The sequence below is a fragment of the Homo sapiens genome, chromosome 14 (genome assembly GCF_000001405.40).
Source record: "Homo sapiens chromosome 14, GRCh38.p14 Primary Assembly".
Classification (NCBI taxonomy): domain Eukaryota; kingdom Metazoa; phylum Chordata; class Mammalia; order Primates; family Hominidae; genus Homo; species Homo sapiens.
Genome location: NC_000014.9, coordinates 62,117,357 through 62,140,967, shown reverse-complemented (window position 1 = coordinate 62,140,967; position 23,611 = coordinate 62,117,357). Strand labels below are relative to the sequence as shown.

The window sequence follows — 23,611 nt, the reverse complement described above, 5'->3', positions numbered from 1 at the left end:
CGTTGTTCCATTTGTCCGAAATCTAAACGACCGCCATCCAAATAGAAATACAATGTGAGCCACATACATAATTTTAAATTTTCTAGTGTCCACACTAAACATTTTTAAAGAAACAGGTTAAGTTAATTTTAAATATATTTTATGTAATGCTGTATGAACTAAATATTAGCATTTCAACATGTAAGCAATGTGATATTTACATTCTTCAATATAAAAACCTTAGAAATCCAGAGTATATTTTACAATTACAGTACATCTCAATTTAGACCATCCACAGTTCAAGCGGCCAGTTGCTACATTACTGGGTCTTTGTTACATAGAAAATGCAGGTCTGTCTGCATCTGAAAAGTGACTCTTCACTCTTGTTCCCTCACCCTCCATCTCCAAGCGTTTAGTGTGTCTCCGTAATGTCTCTCATAACTATTTTGCCATTTCTATTCAACACATGTAAGACCAACCTCTCCAAAGTGCTATCAAAAACACCATCAATGGCTCCCAGTCGCCTACCAAAGAGGATTCAGATGCCTCACACTGGTGTTCAAAGCCTTCCACAAAAAGTGCCCTGATTATTTTAGGGCATCACTTTTCTTTGCCCCTCTCTAACACTAGTCTCCTTCAATTAATCCAGACTACAGATTGTTCCCCCATCGTATCCCTACTTTCCCAACCCTTTCACTTTGGTCATTGGCTCCCCTCTCTGCCTATTAAAATTTTACTCTTTCTTCAAAGTTGTTGCTGAACTCTACTTTTTCATTAATGCTTGCCTGTTTTTCCCAACTAAATAGAATCTCTTCATTATTTTATTGCACGATTCTGTATTTCTCATGCAACTTAGGCAAATCTATTTTGTGTATATTTTTCTTATCCCTTCTAATTTTTAGCCTGTTGCGAGCCAGGATGGAATCTTTAAAATCTCAGTATCCCAGGCAACAGTCAACTGGTTCCTTGAATCTACAAATAGATACGTAAGAGAAGCCAATCTCTGAGACCCATTGGTGAAGAAAAGCAAAAGTGCAGAAAACCATCTTTTCGAAAGAGCTTTCCATCATTCAGGCAACAGTAAGTACCCATAAAGGCAGGGAGATTTAATGTCATATTTTTTTTTCTGTGAGCTTAAATGGGAAGTTAAGGTTAAAACCCAAAAAGCTAGCCTACAGACTCTCTTTTGGAGATGTGTTTTCAGGCAGCATTGTTTTGGAAACTGCTGCATAGGAGAGAGAAGCCTGGCATCATTACTGAAGGGCTGTCATATTATAATGTGTGCATCCTCACCATCTCCAGGAGCATTTTTTCCAATACTATAATCTTGTTTTTGGCTGAGGATATCCCTTATATTCTCCCAGATGATGTCTCATTCTATAACCAGGACAATTACTGGGTCTTTGTTCCAGGGTAATAGGATACAAGTTTGTAAATCAGTAGGCCAGTGGTATGTAAAAATAATATAAAAGTTTCTTTAGATAAAACCAAATCCATGAAACTAAATTCATTGTGCAATATGCAAGTGATGGTAGCAATCATTTCAGCCATCTGTCTGAAAGACACTCACACCCTTAGAGCAAATTCAAAGAAGGAAAAACAGCACTGTCGAAGTTTTGGTCCCATGCCTAGGGTTCTTTTCCTCTAAATATAGGAATAAATATTTAATTCCCTGGTGCATTTGTTCCCACTGTCCAGGTTGCTTCCATGCTTCTGCCTCCCCACGACTTGACTGCTTCTTATCCCCAGGCAGAAAACTCTCTCCATCAATGCTGACTACATCAATTCCATTCCATTCAATCATGCAGGGATCCGGGAAAGTGGACATAATACAAACCAGAGACAGTGAACTACTTAGTGTTTTGGGTTTTGCTTGTTTTCCAGTTCCTAATGGCCTATCAACTACAACAGAGTGAAGAGTTTTTGCAGTTGGCTCATTTTGAAAGCTAAACAGAGACAACAGTTTCTAGTTTATTTGGGCCTCTTAATTATTTAGTATCCACAGAGATAATTTCCTTGGGGAGTATGACATGAAAAGGAGTTTAGTCTATGTGTGTTTTATAAAAATAGGGCAATCAGGATAAGGTTCCATTGTAAGAAGACAGTTTCCCTATTCACGGTAACCACAAGTAGTAGTAAGGCCTGCCCTGGAAGGGCTTGGTTTCCATGGTGACATCACTTTGCTACTTGAGCCCCAGCAGCCTCTAGTTGGCAAGATTAGACACCTTAAGCAGTCCTGCTCTCTCCTGACAAGATGCAGCTGGCTAGTGACCAGTGGACATGGCCCTGGAGAACCTTGGGGTAAGCTCTCCCAGGAGAAAGATGTCCAGTCTTTCCTCCTGCCAATGAGGTCAGGTGAGCATGAAGTATTTTAATTAGATAATTAAAGAATTGTACCCTTTTTTTCACAAACTGATAAAAAGAAAGTGGAGGGAATATCAGACATACAGATAAAACTTCTGTATTTGGCTTCTTCATAAACTATAGAAATACTATGACCATAATTGATCAAAGTGGTGCTGTATTCTACTTGTACGTATGAACTAATAATAATTTAATATCTCTTCTTTTGCATTGAGGGGAGTAATAATTCTGTATAATTTGAGTTTACATAGAACTGTTTGTAAACACTTCTAATTATAAAATCCATGAGGCAACAGTATGAATACCTTTCAGATAAGTAAATGTTTGGTAGTGAGTCTCACTGTATGGAACACACAGAGGAATTGTAAGAAAACAAGTAAAATGTGAAGAAACGACTGGGGTGATTTAACCAAAGCCTTTGAAAGATTTGTCCTGGTAGAGTTTACCATTAATATATAATTTCAGTGACAGCAATCAGGTCTGAAACAGAAGCAGTGGGCCAGGAATAAGCTAGAATAAGGTTGGGGAGTAGTGTTGGGAAATAAAAACAGAAATTTTTTTGTGGTGGATCTTCGTTTTGAGGTTAAAACTATCAACTCACAAATTCCGCTATATTTAAGCTTCTCAATGTGGCTTGAAATTCTCATGCAGATTCCAAGGTTATTGAAAGAAACACCTTGAGGTACTCACCCTTTCTTTTACTTCTTAATGGTAATAAATAAAGAGGCCCATTCACCTGCAATTGGTGGTTTCTCTCTCTCTCTTGCTCCCACTCTCACGCACTCTCTATATGTGTGTGTGTGCATGTGTGTGTGTTCCATAAATTTTTTCTTTCTTCTATTTTTTGCTTATTTATTTTTTTTGAGACAGGGTCTTGCTCTGTTGCCCAGGCTGGAGTGCAACAGTGTGATCCTGGCTCACTGCAGCCTCAACCTCCCAGGCTCAAATGATTCTCCCACCTCAGCCCCCCGAGTAGCTGGGACCACAGGTATGCACTGCCACACCTGGCTAATGTTTTTTTAATTATTTTTTGAGACAAGATCTCACTATATTACCTAGGCTGGTCTTGAACTCCTGGGCTCAAGCTGTCCTCTTGCCTCAGCCTCCCAAAGTGTTAGGATTACAGGCATGAGCCACCATGCCCAGCTTACAAATTTCAATATGAAAGAAAATTATATCAACCTACTTTTAAACTTTAAAGTAGAACACCAATGGAAAAAAAACACATTTCTTTAAAAAATAAACTAAGAGTCACTTGGACAGTGCCATTTATTACTACCAGATATGCTCCAGGCACTATCCAAGGCACTTACATAATATAATATATAAGATTGATTCTTTACTGCTGGAAAGTACTGATCAGCTCTTTATGTTACTGTCTTGGATGTGTATGTTACTGTCTTGGATGTGTTTAAGTTTCTACTAACACATACGTGATAGTCTGTCATTTATATGAGTCAGTTGTTCATATAAACTGAAATAACTGGGTTGCTCAAATAACTGTGCATTTAATCAAGACTTTGTCTTGCTAGATGATATGGTTTTGCTCTGTGTCCCCACCCAAATCTCGCCTTGAATTGTGATAATCCCCACATGTCAAGTGTAGGGCCAGGTGGAGATAACTAAATCATGGGGGCAGTTTCCCCCATATTGTTCTCCTGATAGTGAATAAGTCTTACAAGATCTGATCGTTTTATAAGTGGGAGTTCCCCTGCACAAGCTCTCTTGCCTGCCACCATATAAGATGTGTCTTTGCTTCTCCTTTGCCTTCCACCACGATTGTGAGGCCTCCTCATCCATGTGGAACTCTGAATCCATTAAACCTCTTTCCTTTATAAATTACTCAGTCTTGGGTATGGTAGTGTGAGAATGAACTAACACAGTAAATTGGTACTGGGTCGTGGGGCACTGCTGTAAAGATACCTGATAATGTGGAAGTGAATTTGGAACTGGGTAACAGGCAGAGGTTGGAACAGTTTGGAGGGCACAGAAGAAGACAGGAAAATGTGAGAAAGTTTGGAACTTCCTAGAGACTTGTTGAATGGCTTTGAACAAAATGCTGATAGTGATATGGACAATAAGGTCCAGGCTGAGGTGGTCTCAGATGGAAATAAGGAATTTGTTGGGAACTGGAATAAAGGTGACTTTTGCTATGTTTTACAAAGAGACTGACAGCATTTTGCCCCTGCCCTAGAGATCTGTGGAACCTTGAACTTGAGAGAGACGATTTAAGGCATCTGGCAGAAGAAATTTTCTAAGCAGCACAGCGATCAAGATTTGACTTGGGTGCTCTTAAAAGCATTCAGTTTTATGTATTCACAGAGAAGTGGTTTGGAATCGGAACTTATGTCTAAAAGGGAAGCAGAGCATAAAAGTTTAGAAAATTTGCAGCCTGATGATGTGATAGAAAAGAAAAACCCATTTTCTGAGGAACAATTCAACCTGGCTGCATAAGTAACGAGAAGTAAAATGTTAATCACCAAAACAATGGAGAAAATGCCTCCAGGGCATGTCAGAGGTCTTCACAGCAGCCCCTCCCATCACAGGTCTGGAGGCCTAGGAATTAAAAATGGTTTTGTGTGCCAGGCCCAGGGCCTTGCTGCTTTGTGCAGTCTTGGGAGTTGGTGCTCTGCATCCCAGCCATGGCTAAAAAGGGCCAATGTAGAGCACAGGCCATTGCTTCAGAGGGTGCAAGCCCCAAGCATTGGTGGTTTCCACACGGTGTTGAGCCTGTGGGTGCACAGAAGTCAACAATTGAGGTTTGGTAACCTCTGCCTAGATTTCAGAGGAGATGTGGCAACTCCTGGATGTCCAGAAAGAAATCTGCAGGGGCGGGGCCCTCATGGAGAACCTCTGCTAGGGCAGTCAAGAAGGGAAATGTGGGGTTGGATCCCCCAAACAGAGTTCCCACTGGGGCACTGCCTAGTGGAGCTGTGAGAAGAAGGCCACTGTCCTCCAGAACCCAGAATAATAGATCCACCAATAGCTTACACCGTGTGCCTGCAAAAGCCACAGACACTCAATGGCAGCCCATGAAAACAGCTGAGAGGGAGGCTGTACCCTGCAAAGCCACAGGGGTGGAGCTGCCCAAGACCATGGGAACCTACCTCTTGCATCAGCATGACCTGGATGTGAGACATGGAGTCAAAGGAGATCATTTTGGACCCTTAAGATTTGACAGCCCTGCTGGATTTTGGACTTGCATGGGGCCTGTAGCCCCTTCGTTTTGGCCAATTTATCCTATTTGGAATGGCTGTATTTACCCAATACCCATATCCCCACTGTATTAGGAAGTACCTAACTTGCTTGTGATTTTACAGACTTATAGGCAGAAGAGACTTGCCTTGTCTCGGGGGAGACTTTTGACTGTAGACTTTCAAGATAATGCTGAAATGAGTTAAAACTTTGGGGGACTGTTGGGAAGGCATGATTGGTTTTGCAATGTGAGGACGTGAGATTTGGGAAGGGCCAGGGGTAGAATGGCTTGGCCACGTTTCCACCCAAAACTCACCTTGAATTGTAATAATCCCCACATGTCAAGCATAGGGCCAGGTGAAGATGATGGAATCGGGGAGGGGGGGGAGGTTTCCCCCATACTGTTCTTATGGTAGTGAATAAATCTCATGCTATCTGATGGTTTTGTAAATAAGAGTTCCCCTGCACAAGCTCTCTTGCCTGCTGCCATGTAAGACATGACTTTGCTCCCCATTTGCCTTCTGCCATGATTGTGAAGCCTCCCCAGCCATGTGAAACTGTGAGTCCACTAAACTTCTTTCCTTTATAAATTACCCAGTCTCAGGTATGTCTTTATTAGCAGTGAGAGAACAGACTAAAACGCTGGATATACACAGAAAAAGGTTATTTGCTTTGAAACACCTACATGGGCACTGATGCCCCACATGAGTCAGCGTTTTGTAGGGGCCCCTACGATCATCAGTTTGCAAAGCTGATAACAAACACTAGCTCCTGCTAGAAAAAGAGGGACGCTATGTCTCTGGTGCATGCCAGTTCACCTAATGAATCCAAGTTCATCTAATGCCCAGTTCACCCAATGAATCCAAGTTCATCTAATGCCCAGTTCACCTAAGGAATCATGGAGAATGATGCACACACCCACTGCTGTTCACTGGGTAGAGGAGCTATCTTTCACCCTGAGATTTATAGTTGTTATGTTTAAATAATGCCTAAATGGAGTCAGTTCTGTTGTGTCTTTTTAATGACTTGCACTATCTTAAAACCATTTCAGGGTCACTCAGTGAAGAAACTGTGCCAGGAGACTGGGAATATCTTCTAAATCCTTAAGCAAACTGTGCTGAAAACAAACTGCTGAAAGAAAATAAGCATTTGACTTTAAAACGATGCCTCTGGAAAAAAGGGACATGCAGCAGCTGCCAGATGTTCATGATCCCACCTCCCCTACTTAACAAAGGCACCTATATTTCACCAGAAATAAAATTTTATTAGTAACATGTCAAATGTTTTAAAATACAATTACCTTTCTTCTTCCTCTCAGTTTAAAAAACAATCCAATAAAAACTCTAAATCATGACCCAAATATTTTTAAATGTGAAAAAGACATATTTCAGATTATGTAACAGATACACATTTTCCCAAATAAATGTTGTAGAACACCATCTGCTTGATATTTGAGTGCATTCCCACAGAAATAAATTTCTGCTTCTCTTCCTTCATTAATGGCTTATGACAAATTTATGACACTATATTTCACAATAGCTATACCAAAATTTTATGACCAAAAGAGGCTGACAAAAATCACTTGGCATGCTCAAATTAGACAATTTATGTGACTGTCTCATTTACACCAATCCTCCACCCCTTACTGAGACCCCAGCGACTGAGGAGAAACAGAAAAAATCACTGTAGGGGAAGATCTCTCACAGAATAAAGCTCAAAAAAGAGTTCAAGACAAGAAGTTACAGATCCAGGTGCCATTTTCAGCTCAGGTTTTCCATAATCTTCAGCTTATGCAGCTACCCAAAATTCTGAATTTAATGTAGGATGTTTTTGTAAGGTTGTCTCAGATTTTGCCAAGCAAGAAGTTGCTAAATTCTTGTTAACTGTGAACAGAATTTCATCTTTGTTACCAAATGGAGCTCCCTTATGTGAGTATAATCAAGAGGAAAATCAAGAAGAGAAATTTACCACGTGTCATCTCCTGACTGATAAGAATGGTACATGACTCTACCCATGTTCCTTTCCTGCACTTGATACAGAGAAAACTTGTAACAGGAATAATCTTTGCATTTTACTCTACAGAGTATTACAGTATTTGTGGCAAATTTGGAAAACCAGTGTTATGGTTTTCTGATTTTACTTTATGCAGTTTATTTCTTAAAAGAAAAAATTCTTGCAGAACACAGACATGAACACAGAGTCTTTGAAAGTTTAAGAGTATAGGCTTCAGTGTGGATATTTCTCAAAAGATGTAGAATCTCCCAACTCAAAGTGTGGTCGATGGACTGGCAGCATCCACATCACCTGGGAGATTTGAGAGATGAAGACCTTCATTCCTCATCCCAAACCTACTAAAAGGAATCTGTATTTTCACAAGATCCCTAGTGACTTGTATGCTCAAGAAGCACTAATGTAATGTTTTTAATCCACCCAACCCTAAAGGATAATCCTTGAGAAAGACAAAACTACTTTAATGGGGAAATTTTGTCCATAATATTCAACCAGGAATGTGACAACTTTTAGACATGGCCCACTTAATAAAAAAACAAAAAACCTGAAATTTATCTTGTTGCTGCTGTATAGTAATGAAGTATGAGAATGGGAACATATAAATTAAAATGCCATATGTTACATAAATATTCATGACCTGATTGAATTAATTATACACAACCTTCCATTGTTTCCAACCTAAGTAGTTTCTTTTGTGAGACATATACAGCTGTTAACTATTACACTGAATTCCAGAAACATGAAAATTGCCTTAGTAAACAATTATTTAATGACTAAGTACAATAGTCTCAAAAAGAATTTTGTTCAGCCAGTAACGACCATGTTACTATGATGAATTCTTATTTGATACACTCCAGAAACTTTCCCAAAGGAGTTCAGCCAGTACTGCAAATTGTTACTTTCTTCTAAGTATCAATGATAGGGAGCAAGGTGTGGGTGAAGAATAGAGCTATAACTTCCACTTACAATGGACTATAAAGACTGGGGTCAGGCTGTGATTTAAAGAGGAAACCAGAGGGAGAGAAAGAAGGTGGGCTCCAGTACCTGGTGTTAAGAAATACCGAAGTTCATTCAAGCAATTCACCAGCACAAGGCAAATTGAAGAAGACTGCCCCTCTGAGCTTGCACACAACATACACAACTTTCAGGCTGTGATTTATTGATTCTCTTTCTCCTTTAAAGCTCTCCTTAACATTAGTATTAATCTGATTTGTTCCATAAAAGAACATGGAAGCTAGAGAGGTAAGGCGAGAAGGAATTGTTCCCTACCTGATTTGTCTCCCCACCACACGCACAAGATATGCCCCAGGGATGGGCTAAGGTCAGCCGTACTTCCCTTAGGCAATAGTAGCTTTTTGCCCACAATAAATATGCCACAAAGCAAAATGTATCCTCTCCTTTCCTTCTAAGATCTGGGTCAGGAAAACTTTCCTTCACCTTGCGCATCTTCTCACCTGCAAACACTTTCTGAAAGACATGTTTGATAGCCATCTCAGTTTGGAAAAGAGAAATGCAGGTACTGCATTTGGATTTGGTAAAACAAAACCAAATAATCTGAGTTCTGGGACTGTGCATTATTCACTTATGTATCCCCAGCCCTAGCACAGTGCCTGGCTCATAATAGCTGCTCAATAGATGGTGGTAAATTACACTTATTTTCAAGTCTTCTAGCACTGAGTTTGTTAAATCTTGGGTGTTACATTGAAACCAGATAATGCATTTGAGCTTATCCATTTCCCATTTATACACAGGCTTATCCTTTAGCCTTTCCCTTACCTTAATTATTTTCTATTTTTCCTTTGCTTATCCACCCAAAGAGCTCAGTTTCAGGGATATTTTTCAGTAGTAACACTTTGCAAACAGTAGATATGCCGAAAATAATCTAGTCTTATGCATCACAGGTGAATGAAAGAAAGGAGCAATACATTGCAGAGATCAGGTGTTTTGTGTACAGCAGACACGGGAAAGCAAAATTGAGTATAGCAAGCAAGAACACCCCCCCCACACAACAAAGCAACTTTTTCTTTCACTTACTAATCCTACTCTTTATTTCTCTGGCCCCACCCTCTTTTTCCTCTTTTCTTCATTTTTCCTCTTCTGCTTTTTTATGTTCTTCTTCACTTGGCTTTTAGGCTAGGTGGACACCCACAAGAAAGATCAACATTACCAAAGGTTCTCCATTTTCTATCTCACCTTCCTTACCATAAGGATGGCTCTTGTCACCAGAGAAAGGATGTCCAGGTTTTAAAAAAAAAAAAAAAAAGGTGTAACTGGTCTTCCACCTTTTGCATCTCCTGTAATAAAGCACGCTGGGTAGTCAGCAAAGCAAGCCTGTATTTGGGTCTCCCTGTATATCAGTTTACCATGCTAAAACCCCGGTAGTCTATTGGTTAACTCAGACAAGTTTACACAGTTTACATACAAATTTTCTAAATAAAGATAACATTAGTCAACCCGTTATCTATGAGTTGTTTATTGGGAAAAATAATTAAATGCCCTAGGAGATATTTTTTAATTACCAGTTTCAAGGCAGACACTTTTTTAAAAAAGCATATTAACAAATATCACTGGGGAGGGATAGCATTAGGAGAAATACCTAATGTAGATGACAGGTTGATGGGTGCAGCAAACCACCATGGCACGTGTATACCTATATAACAAACCTGCACATTCTGCACATGTACGCTAGAACTTAAAAAAAAAAAGAAACACTGGTTTTTAAGACAGTTCCTTCTCGATGTATGAATGTATAGATGAGAAAACTCAGTTAATGATGTCATCAAATAAAACAGGCTTTTATATCTGTCACTGGTTCATTGCTCAAGAGTTCTTTCTTCAAGATTTATTAAATACAATAAATATTACAATGTCACACTTTTTTTATTTTTTTCTCTTCCTCTCTTCTCAATGCCAAAGTATATATATTTCAATCCTCAATCAATTTCGATATGTGGCATTTTTGTAAGTCATATCTATTAGCATTGGTGTCTTTTACTTACAGACACGGTCCTAAACCAAGTGAAATGTTCATTTCAGAAAATATTTTAAAGTATTAGAAAGCTAATTCTACCTTTAAAATTGTATGATGGTGTAACTATCCCATCAAATTTGGAGTTTTTCAAATAAGATGTTATTTTTTAAAATAAGTGTTCTGATAAAGTATTTTATAAGCAGTGAAATAAAATTTTTGAAACTTTGGTACCAAATCTTGCCCTCAAATTAATTTTTAAACATTTAAATCTGTATTTCAAAGCTAGCTCATCATGTATACTAAATTGCCTTTAAAAATTAACCTAAATTGTAATTTTTTAGTTTCTTCCAAAGCATTTCTTCCTAATTTTGATTGAGTAATTAAACATGAGCCTCATAGTCTTATCAGTAATACATCTATGTGGTCTTCAACAATGCAGGCTAATTAGGGAACCAATACTCTTTATACCAACAGAATTCATGTTAATCACCCCAGTGATTAATTAGAGGGACCAAGTATTAAATCAAAACTAAAACCAAATTTCTCTTGAATAGAAGAAAGTCTTCTTGGTTACAAGTTGGCATCCAACTAGGGAAGATACTTTGTTGACAAGTCACCATACATAGATTGTTTTCCAAGGCATATGATTCCTAAAGGTCTGTAGTATCTTCATTTAAAGCAGTGCCCTTGATTACCATTATTATGTATAAAGTGTTCTGAAAGTACATTAGTAAGCAAATCATTCCAAACCCCTTTAACAATGTTCTTCTATGTCCTATGCAATCCTTACTTTAGATTCTTATCTTCATTATCATAGTCTTCCTAACACTCATCTTTGAGTCTTTGGTATTTTCTTAAATACACCTTTGGCACCTAGTTTTTCCAATCTGTTTTATCAGTTAATGACAATTCTTTAAATGATATGCTCCATAGGACAAAACTTCAGACACTGAAATCTGACATCTCACTCAAACCTGAAAGAACAGTATGAACCACTTCAAACAATTTCATGAATCTATCCAACTTGTTAAATAATTATCTGTAAAATTGCAAAACATAGGGACTTATCTAAACTTCACCACCAAAGGCATTCTGAAACAATTTGTCAAATAGTGAATGATCAACTATTATACAAAAATCAGTGCAAAGTTTCATCCAGGCAGCCTTAAATGTACTCTTAGCTAGATGAAGAAATAACATCATGTGGAATTTGTTGTTCTCATTAATTTTTGCAGATAAGGTTTCTAAAAAGTATCAACTCATTAAAAACAAATTTTACCTGCCTACCCTTTTCCTGAGCTTCACAGCCTATAAAAAAAAACAAATAAAATGTAAACGGCTAACTAAAGGCCCACCACAAATTTTAACCAACCTGTAGAACTTATAGATAAGCCCATCTGCAAGGCTATTTCGTTAAAATTCACTTTTAAAGAGAAAAGTCTAAGCCCTCCCCGCAAAATAGTACAATGGATCAGTTTGGAGTAATCTGGTTGTTACATTCAGCAGTTTAGTTGCAGTGTCTTTGCCCCATCTCGAATTGCTACTAATGGTAAAAGGAGAATGGTGTCAATTATTTGGCACAATGCTTGACAAGTCAAAGCACTTCAGAAAGAACCAGCCCTTCCTCATATCATTTACAGAAAATTAAATGTGTTCCACCCTTCATCCTCAGGGACATGGCATTATCAATTTAATCTGTTACTTTCATTACTTTCCAGTAAGAGTGGCAGAATTTGGAAATCAAGGCATAAAAGAAAATTTTTCATCTGTGTAATTGTTTAACGTAGGCCCCTTCCTACACATCTTATGTTTAAAAAAAATCTTTGCTTCTAAAGCACTAATTGACCGCTTTATCATATGTGAACATATTTTCTATTCAATTTGATGATTCTAAGGACTGCTGAGTAATAACCATTGCTCTCTCCAATCAGTTCAGCATGCATCTCATCTTTGATATCAAGTGCACTGGTAATGAGTGCCTTATATTAACATCTTCACTATAAACAGTTCAAGCATTTAGAAACAAAGTATCAATGGACTTAACAGTTACTTTAATTCATTTTATAAATAAGCAACTGAGAATTTTGCTCCAAGTGGCTGCTAGTGTAGCCCATTTCATAAATGGCATTCTCCGAAGCATAAGGCACAATATGATACGAATGCAGCTCTTCATAATAGAGAGACTGAGAACAGCATTCCTGTACCATAAACTTCAGCCGTTTTCTTGTATCAGAATATGCAGTCTTATAACAGGGAGCTTCTTTAAAGTATTCATAGCTCTCTTTCTCCGTCTCTAGATGTATCTTCCTCAGCAAATTGTTAATTAACACAGACCTTCTTAAGTAGGTTTCTGGGTCTTCAAGAAACCTGAGCTTCTCCAGAGAAAGTTTGAGAATGCAAGTTCTGTCCTCAGGTAATATCAGGTGCTGGAAAGCAAACATGATCATTAAATCTATATTTAGAAAAACAAAAACTACAGCTTTTTATGTTGACAACATTCATGAAAATGAACAAATAATAATAAGTAAACCCTTACTTTTGGAAAATACCCATGGTAATCTTGATGTAAATCTTCTTCTTCTGCATATTTTCTCTTAAAGTAGGCTACTTTCGACGTTGTTAATGTATATGTTAATACTTTTGTTGGATAAGCTAAACAAATAAAATAATTGGGGAAAGGTTAGATTTTATTGTGGCAAATAGTATCTTATAATATAACTTTTATCTATAAAAATAAACTGGTGATCCTGGAAATTGGTATTCTCCCTTCAACGTGGTGAAGCAGTGACAACTGCCCTGGATTGAAAAGCCTGCAGGCAGGAAAATACCACCATTCAGACCCAAAACAGATGTTCTAGATAGGATACTCATGTTTATTTCCTTATGCAGCCCCTCAGAAGTCAAATACCAATATACTATTTTATTTCATGCCATTTAATGTCAAAACACACCCAAATTTGAAATGGAATGTAATGGGAGGAGAAAAGAAATTTTTCATCATTCTTTTAGTTAAACTGCCTAATACAGAGAGATCATTTAGTGTCACTAGGTTAATCAAACTGGCATAAAATAGTTGGCAGCCCAATTACACTTTAAAGAAATAATGGTGTATCTGTAGACAAAACACTCTATGATATGATTATGGTGTAGCCATCGTCCTAACACATGGTTTAATGGTGTTCTAAGTAAATGAAAGATTTAGGTAACGTTCTGACTTGCAAACTTGACCTTGTCATAATACTGAAAGTGAAGACCTTTGTTTTCTCCTTTAAAATACGATTGCTACTGAGGTTCTTACTTGCTTAAGGAAGGACGGAGTTCCAAAAGCCAATTTTCAGTTATCGTTTAGTTTAACGATAGTGCTTAAGGGAGTTCTCAGAGTGTACTCTAGGTGGCACTCATATCACAAAAAGGAGGCAAGATCTACTTTGAAAGCTAAAGACAAGCAGCTTCTAGAGAAAGCACTGAATGAATTTAGAAAACAAATTGAGTCCAGTTCAATTCTCATTCAACCTCGGGGGACCAGGCCAGAAAGAAACTTCATATTTAAACATAATTTATTTTACCCTTAATACACATCCTCAAATATTTCTATGTGTTGAAACCATTTAGTTCACAAAAGAATGAATAATGTATGTGTTAGTTAAATAAATCTACAGCAAGACATTTGATGGTTTTCCTCTAAAATCTTAAATTTTTCTAAGCTTAAATATTTTAAATGTGTTCAAGAATTTGCTTTTTCTAGTTTGTCCTCCAACTCAGTGCATCTAAGCTACAAAAGCTTCCCGCAACTTTTTGTAGCTAAATGATTTTCCTCAGTCAGTAAGAAAAGCTACAAAATCATTCCCAAGCATTCCAGTTTTCCACTGACATCACTGTGGATTATTAACCCAAGAAAGCCTTAAGTTATAGTTGTTATGTTTTGTTAAGGGAATGAAGAATTTTAAAACAGTGGTGTATCTGATCTTAAAAGAAATGAATATGTCATGATAATTCACAAGTGAACTGAAGCAAAGACAATAGTTGCTACTACTATACCTACACAGTCCCTGAATTCAGTAAGCAAACTCAGCTTATATAGAGTTTTCAATGATTTCAAAAGTTTAGGAAAGAAGAACAAAGCTGATTGTAGAGAGAACAAAGAAAGCATCACTGAAACCAGGTTTCTCAGGGGCTGTTTTTTAGTAAACTGCATTTTCTTTGGTATATTTTTTAAGGATTTAATCAAATAATTAGGTGAAGCTTTGGGTTATCCCGTGTGACAATTACTTGTACTTTTTTTTTAAACTGTTTCACTAATTGATGTAATGGTAGTTTTCAAATGTTAGTGAGCATCAGAATTATCTGGAGGGTATGTTAAATCAAATTGCTGGGTCCCACCCCCAGAGTTTCTAATCCAGTAGATCTGGGCTAGCAGCAGTGAATTTGCATTTCTAACAAATTTCCAGGTGATGCTGATGCTGCCAGTCTGGGGATTGCATTTTGAGAGCCTCTAGGTTGCAGCATTCAGCAGGTGTAGTAGTAGCACTATGGCAACAAGTTAAGAGCAGAACATTCAGTCAATCAGCTGATTGCCATATCAATAGAATGCCAGGCAATTGGTTTGATTGATTGTTGTTGTTGTTGCTATTGCTTCCCTACACTGGCTTAGATGCTTTAGCCTCATGAACAAAGCCAGACTGCATTTTAACTAAATAGTGAAGAATGAAGTCACTTTTCCTGGGTTCACATTGAGAAGCATCAATGGCTATTATTAGCATGATAGCTGGGCAGGTCTCTAATTTTTTTAACAAGCTCTAATGAATTACTATAGTGTAGGTGACAGTGAGAAAAGGCTAGAAAATGAGATGAGTAACTTCATCATGAGCAAACATGACTTTCTTATATGTATCTTTTTAAAATGTCTGCTCATTTTATCTTCCAATGTAATGCAATATCTACAGCATTTATGACCAATTAAGAATCTTTTAATGAGTAATACAAGGGAAGGCAGGTGGCAGATTAGAGAACCAAATGACAAATAAACTTATAGTTCTGGATCCCAAGTGTACCTCCAGGAAAGATATTTTTATTTGACAGATCAAGACCAAAAAAATCATATCAAATGATTCCAAGGTTCATAAAGACTGTCTGGCTATCATCAACCAATTAGCCTAATATACTGAATGTATCAGATCCTGAAAATACAGAGAAAATTCCCAGGAGTTCTAGATTTGAGTCTCAGCTCCTCCGTGGGCAACACACTTAGCCATTTAGTTTATTGCTCTTAAAAAATACCCACATGGGTTGTTAAAATGCTGAAAAGCCTTCACAGCTGGTATCAGTTTGACAATTATCTCCCTGAAAGCTGTTTAGCTATTTAAAATGTTTTCAGTATCAATTTTGGAGGATGGTTCTAGCCACTTTTAGGTTAAAATATATAGCAAACATAAGTTCCTACATCTGTTTGCTTGGCTGGATTAGAACTCAAAACATTCGGAGCTGATAACTATGTATCCATCACCTGATTCAGCCTCCTCAGTGTCCAGATGAGAAAACTACAGCCCAGACGAGTTCAATAATTTACATTCTGGCACGTGGCTATGAGTTTGGGTTTTGAAGTCAGATGGAAGTGGTCTGAATTCCAGCTCTGCTGCTTCTTATTTGAGTGACTTTGAGCAAATTACATAAACTCTCTAGAAATCTCATTTGTAAAGTAAGGATAGAAATAACACTGGCTCATAAGATCATTGAAATAATTCATGGAAAGTGACTGGCACTGTGCCTAGCATATAGTAAACACTCAATCAAATTGTAGACCTTATTTGTGCCATTAGTCACAAATCTACCACATAGAAGCAGAGCCCAGCCTGGCCTCCTAGCTCTGACTCAAAGACTCCACCACCCTGCCTCCCAAAGATACTAGATTGTAATTAGACAGTTAAAAAAAACTGCAAGAAGATATTGCAAATGATCAAGTTGAAAAAACGTAGTACAGATTCTATAACAACTCCAAATATTTCTGGTGTATTGCCACTGGTCATGCATTTTGGGTGAAGGAGGTGTAAACTATTTTTGAAACATACAGGTAATCATCTGGATAATTAATTAAAGTTGATCTGACTATCCAAAGAAGTTTGGTTGTTATGATTCAGTAAACATGTGTAAATCGGTTATAGTTCTCCTGCAACTAAAAGGCCAAACTTAACCCAGCCTATTATTCAAATAAAGATGACGAAATAGACAAGAAAAAAAATGAAATGACTTTATGTCTTCACATTCTGAGTGTTCTGAGCTCTGAGAACAGTATGTAAATTACAAAACTGAATTAGGCTGAGCCTAAATTTGTCTCTGAAAGTGAAATGGCTAATGATGGCTTGAATATTCAAGCTGTTTCTAATGCTATATCCTCTGGGCCCATAAAATATCTGTGCCAAGCTCAGTGTATTTGGTAGTATAAAACATAAATAACCAACAAATTAAAAGTTACAGAACAGAGTGACCATCCCTGTCATTAGAGTTCTAGCAATATAATTTTTATATAATTCTTTAAATAAATGTTTAAAATGTAATTACAAATGATTGCTCAAATGCTCTTCCTCATTGCTCTGCTTCTGCCTCCAGAAAACTGAAATCCTATTACGGTGTAAGTGATTTCATTTGGTACATGGTCTGGAGACAGTACATTAAGGAAACATCATCAGCAAATTAATTTACAAACACTTTGAGATAACAGACCACAGTAAAAAGAACAACTCCTGTCAAAGCAATCCATTCTTTGTCAAGACTCAAAGCTGGAGACATGGTGAAGAAGTGATCAGTTCAATATATCCTAATTTTAGTTTGGCTTTCATTTTTCCCCCCACAACATTTAAATCAAAACATTCCAAAAACAGAGTTGAAACCATCCTATTAGATGTGTGCATCCTACCCACAGACAGAAGGGGTGGAGGCTGATCAATGACAAGAAAGAAGGTGGGTTCCATCTCAGATCAACAACTGACTTGTGTTATAGATAAATCAGGCACCTCAGCTTCACAATGTCTTACTGATTTTTCTTTGTAACATGTTAGCCTGGCATGAGCCTTTAAAAGTGCAATTGTCCCTATCTAGCTAAATAATGATTTGCTGGTGACAAAGCTACTGGAGATATTTCCTTAAGGGCCATGACCACAGTTGATTAGAAAGAGTTACCCCATCTGTCCCTGCTAACCACATTCTGCAGTCTCACTGCATGGCTTGAAATACTTCAGCATAACCTTCTAGTTCTGTCCAACGGCACTAGTTCAAATACCAGCTCTACAGTTTATTTGCTTACTGACTTTGGCCAAGATATTTAAACTCAAAGAGCCTAACTTTTCTTTATCTGTTAAACGGGGGGACAATACCAAACTCATTGAGTTTTACTGGAATTAGAAGAGATGATGTTTAAAAAGCAGTTACTCAGTGCCTGTCACATGTGCTCATATTTCCTGCTCAGTAAATGTTACGTATTATTATTGCAGTGACTTCATTTTGAAATCATAAGTACATATCCTGCTCAGCAGCATTATATTATACCTAGGACATTGGTCCTCTCTTTAGTGCTAAGCATGGGCTGCATGAAGCATTCATGAGTGTATTCAAGAAGGTAGATGGGTGCAAAGTTCAAGGCTATGATGCTGTGCCTTCTGGAGACCTTTGGCTCTGTTGATGTTTAACAATTTTCCATCAGCCATCTTTCTTCTCTCTCATAACCCCCTTGCCTATCACCTTTCTGGATAATATCCTTTATGGTAGCAGAACTCAGTGTCAGGTTTTATCTCCAAATCAATGGAGCAATCTGTTTCTTCAGATTTATCCACCCCAAGCACAATATTGACTTTACTGGCAATTTAGAATTACTAACAAGTTCCAGCTCGAGCAGACTTTCTTAGGAACTTCCAGGAATACTGAGAGCCAATGACTTAGAAGAGTTTCTCAAGATACCAGCAGCATTGTCTGGTACTAGATTGCATCCATGTCCCTTGGGATAACCCCAAGCACAGGCATGGAATAGTAAAGAAAACCCCACCAGTTCCACAAGCCTATCCTGCTCCAATGGTAATGGTCTCTGAACCAAACAGAACACCATTAGGTTTCCTTAGATGCTGCACTAAAGCCAGTTGCTGCCGTGATCTGGCCCTGCTAATGACAGAAATTTAGAGGCGAAGTGCAGGAGGCTTCTTGGGTAAACTTTTTGATTTTCCACCCCCTAGAAGTGCATTCCTGATTCTGAGGAATGATGCTTCCTTTTACCCCATCTTTTACCTTGGAAAGTAGAAATGAATTAGAAAGAAAATTGCTTTTTTGGAAGCACATTGCAGTATATGGGTTCCAAGAAATCCATACCTAGAGATATGCTAGAGAGATACTACAACTTCCCTCGATACCCAGGACTGGTACTCAAAGAAAAGAGTTTTAATCCCTAACCTATGGATAATAGCAGCCTTTCTAAAAGTACCTGATCTATATCACTCACATTGTCTTCCACTTTGATATCACTACCACCACCACTCCATGCTTGAGTATATTAACAAAAACATCTATCCACGCCAACGTTGCTTCTGCTATCCCAAAAGGGTTGTAAAAAAACATAAGATTGAATTAATCATTAATTTTACTCACTTTAAAACACATGAGGATTCGCGTGGAGTTGGGTGACTCTCTGCCCTCACTCATATGGTATCTGATTTGTGTTTCACCTGGAGTTGCTCTAGTGGTGAAATAATTTTCATTCACAGGGTACCTTTTCGCTAAAGAGCTATATAGGTGCTTCCATGGAATAGCACACAGCCATACTACACAGCCATAAAAAAAGAATGAAATCATGTCCTTTGCATCAACATAGACGGAGCTGGAAGCCATTATCCTAAGAGAACTAACACATGAACAGAAAACCAAATACTGCATCTTCTCATCTATAAGTGGGAGCTACACTGAGTACACATGAACGCAAAGAACAGACACAGGGGCCTATTTGAGGGAGGAGGGTGAGGATACAAAAACTACCTCTCAGGTACTACACTTATTATGGGGGTGGTGAAATAATCTGTAGACCAAACCCAGTGGCATACAATTCACCCGTGTAACAGTCCTGCACAGGTACCCGTGAACATAAAAGTTTTTCTTACAGAGCTACAGTTGCTTCATTAAATTGTGTTACATTCATGCTCAAGCAATCTACTTAAGCTTGTAGTCTTATATCCCACATTAGATAGAGAGAAAATGAGCCATAAAGCAGTAAAATGAGCAGCACATGGAGGCAGAATTGAGGTTCTAGGCTCTTGAGTCTTGTCTCTCTTTACAATATTCCCAACTTTTCTTCATGTTCCTTACTCATGCTCCCTTTTCCTAAGCACTTTGAAAACAATATGTACTCTGAAATACACACGCAGAGTAGACTTCCCAGCCTCAAACGTGTACCTCCTGTCCTTCTAAGCACCACTGATGTTCAGATCTTGTGTTTCTTGTGTTTCTACCAAGAAGCCTTTTTGCTGCACTTCACTTTCTGTCGTTCTTTTGTTTTCTAAACATAAGGCTATATTACAATATTGAGGACAACATTGGTTAGCTCTTAGTGCTTTTCAGTAATATCCTTCCGCCACCCCTTCCCCCCAGCTGAGAATTATTGCAGTGAATTGGATGGCTCTGTTAATTAGCCCATTTGTATAAATTTAATTAGGAAAAAAGAAAATATAAAAAATGGTGTTAGATTACAAAGAGTAAACATTAATGTATTAACACTATTTAGATAAACAACTTAAAAAGAAAAAGGAAAAAAGAATCGACAAGGATTGGCCTCTCCCAAAACTCAAAGGTATCCTTCCTTCGTTTTAGTGCTGAATGGTTTTGGTCAATGTACTCCTACCTCTGCTTCAGAGTTAGCAGTTTAGCTTTTTCTAGGTTTCTGAGGCATATTGCTTTGACAAATAGAGCAATCTGAACTGATTATTCCTTGGCTTTAGAGTTATTGTTGGGATGCCAGCTGACATGAGTCATCAGTAGAGAGCCCAGGTATGGAGGTAAGGGCCTCAACCTCTTGATAAAAGTTTTCAACATCTCTGTCTGCATCAAGGCGTCTTCTAAATTCCATGAAGTTTACATGACATAAAATTGAACATAGAATTTTCACACATGCCTAAAAACTTCCAAATAGAGTATATGAGTAAAAAAGACTGAAATTAGAATTTGGTTTAGTAACCTGCTTGATCTCAGCTTTAGCCAAATCTTATACTCCTAAGTGCATGCCTTCTTTATAACCCATTACATATACAAGTGCAGCTGGTGTTCAAATTGATGAGGGTGACTAGATCCTTAAATAAAAATTGGTGGAATTTTCTTCCACACTCTAACTTTGGACCCACCAATGTCTCCAGGATTAAATGTGGATATTATAATGATACCATTTGATTTATTTTTATTTTTTGAAGCTAAATACCATAAAATTTTCTGATGAATGACTTTTCAAACAGATCCGTTTATCAAAGTTGCACAGGATATAGTCTGCATATTACACATTTATGATAGAATCAAAATTAAAATTTAAGAACCTCTTTCATTGCCCTTTTGGATTGTGGCAGCAGTCTCAACGAAAGGGCAGACTGATTCACGTAAATTAAAGGGCACTGAATGATCTTCAACTTTTATGCACATGACATAAGAGACAGGCTGTGGTATAAATTACTAATCACACAACTAATTCACCTACATGAACCAATAATTGTGGCTGCTTTGCTCAAACTTTCCTCAGATTGATAGCATGAATGGAACTCTGTACACATCTCATGGCAGATGACGGTAAATATTATTGGTCTCTTTGGGTTGTTTCTCACCATAAAATACAGTCAGTATGATAAATGAAGAAGGATGGATGGTGCTAAGGGCCAACAAAACCAACATTTTTGACAGTTCAAATGCTAATCTTTAATCCTTAAAATTATTAAACTACAGATATTTAAACAAGTGACTATAGAGATCAATAATCTTAAAGTCTCACGGTATTCATAAATCTGTACCACTAGACCAGAATAAATTTTCAAATAGGTTTCTGAATAAGAATTGTCAATTATTTATTTTTATAAAGGGAGGAAAGAAATGGGATGAAATGCAGCATGGTATATTCTTATAAATTTGATTGCAATTTGCTAGGCTGGTTACCTATAGGAAGGGCACAGTACATGTGAAAGTTACAAATGCTGGAGGGTTGAACACTCATTTAAGACGTATTCAGTCTTGAAAATTGAGTTTAAAATGTTGAAGCCTCATAAGTTTCTATCCTCATGACCTTATGCAAATTAAATTTGAAACATCACAATAATCTCTTTCTGCAACTTGGAGAGTTCTCCTCACTTCCTTCATTCGGACATGCACTCGTGTGCTCAGTAGGCTTCCGCTTGGCATGTTTCCGGAGCCAGGCTACCTAATTTGGCCCACCCTATTCACACGGATCTTAGAGAGGAAAATCAGCCAGCCCACAAATGTCCTTTTTACAGAAAACCTCTATTGACTTCTACCCAGCAACCATCTATATAAACAACCCCTTATATTGATCTTATAAGTTATGGTAATGTTACATTAGCATTCATTTCTCTGGATACATATTTAAACAGTAATTTCTTTTAAGCTAGCAATTACCTGGTAATGCTGAATCAATCCGAAAAGTGTATTTCTAGAACAGTTTCAGAAAATCTGGTGAGAGTTCCCCTTTGCACAGCGAGCATTTCTCACAGCCTCAGGCTCATGAATGGTTACCTGAGATCTTGAAACAAGGAGACAGACACAAATAACATCGGGCGAGTCAGGACTGCACTGACATGAACTGGTTCTCAAGTCAGGAGAAAGCCTGCAGCAGGAGGATATTATCTAAGATATTTGAGATGGGGTTGGTCTGGACTAGATAGATAGATAAACCTTCAAACACACACAATCACTTCAGTGTTGTCCAGATTTAAGTTTAAACATAAGGAATCTTAACTATCCTAAGACATTTGGAAATAACTGAATAACTCATCTTACCAGTTATTTACTTGGGAGATTATTTTTGGAAGATTATCAGTAGGCTGATATTTTTTTAAAAAAATCAGAGTCATTCTTAAGTTTTAATGCCAGATTTTATATAATTTCAGGAAGTATTCCCTCTAAAGTAACAAACCAGCAGTTAGCTCAAAACACGAACCCCGTCTTTCTTTGGAATGCACATTCTTTCTCACAAGATTTGAAATCGCCAAATGCTACTTTTTCTTTGAAGACAGCATTTCTTTAAAGGGCCATGTTTAACTGCACCTTTTCTACATGGATGTATGCTTACGGATCTCATCATCTTCTAAATTTAGAGAGATGCGCTTTCCAAAGGAAGATAGGCAGCCAATAAGGAGGATCCCATCAAAAGAGAGGTGAGTTACTATGGTTACTTTTCAGGAGGTTGAGTAACAGTGAACAGTGCTCTTGGCCAAATGGACCCTTTCCAGAGGAGGACCTAAAAAGAATGTTGCTATCCATACGTGTTGATTCAATTAGTCGAGACTACACTATGTCGTTTGAGCTTTAACCACAGGCTTTCTATCAGCGATTGCTGCTTCCAGCCTAGCTGCACATAGGCAGCGAAGTCAACGGGAAAACAAGGACTGAAAACTTCCGAACGCTAACCTAATAGCGAAGAGCAGCGGACTCTTCACCCAAGAACCAATCCTAAGGTTTACATTTAAAAAATCGAATCAGGTCATTTGGGACCAGCAGCTGGCTACTCTTCAGTGGTTGGGGGCGGGGTGGGATCCCGGAACACGTCCCTATCCTCCCCCTCAAGGAAAGGAGTCCCTTCTGAGCTCGGAGGAAGGCACCTGGCTGGATGAATCCAGACATACCTTGTGAGCTGGGTCCACTCACCAGATCGGCGCATGCACCTGTTAGGTAGAAGCGCGGGGTTCGGTGCTCACTCCTGCTTTTGCGGCTGTCACTCTTCAGTCGGGCGCTGACAGCGGCAGTAGCGGCAACTGCAGCTCGGCGGGCAGCCCTGGCTCCTGCAGGTCCGTCCCTCCAGTCTCTGAAGCGCCTCTCACTCCGGGTTCGCAGCGCTAGGCGGGCGCGCAGCTGTTC

General features: G+C 38.2%; 1 long non-coding RNA gene and 1 pseudogene across 2 annotated transcripts; one reads left to right on the top strand and one right to left on the bottom strand.

The window, feature by feature from the left end:
- Positions 1-994: 994 nt before the first annotated feature.
- On the top strand, positions 995-6,819 carry LINC00644 (long intergenic non-protein coding RNA 644). The gene is made up of 2 exons (NR_104063.1): positions 995-1,059; positions 6,590-6,819. It is a non-coding gene; the product is annotated as a long intergenic non-protein coding RNA 644 (long non-coding RNA).
- Positions 6,782-23,611, bottom strand: SERTAD4BP (SERTA domain containing 4B, pseudogene; annotated as a pseudogene). The gene is made up of 4 exons (NR_015358.2): positions 23,380-23,611; positions 22,154-22,277; positions 13,056-13,171; positions 6,782-12,945 (listed from the first exon to the last, which is right to left on the bottom strand). The product of NR_015358.2 is annotated as an SERTA domain containing 4B, pseudogene (transcript).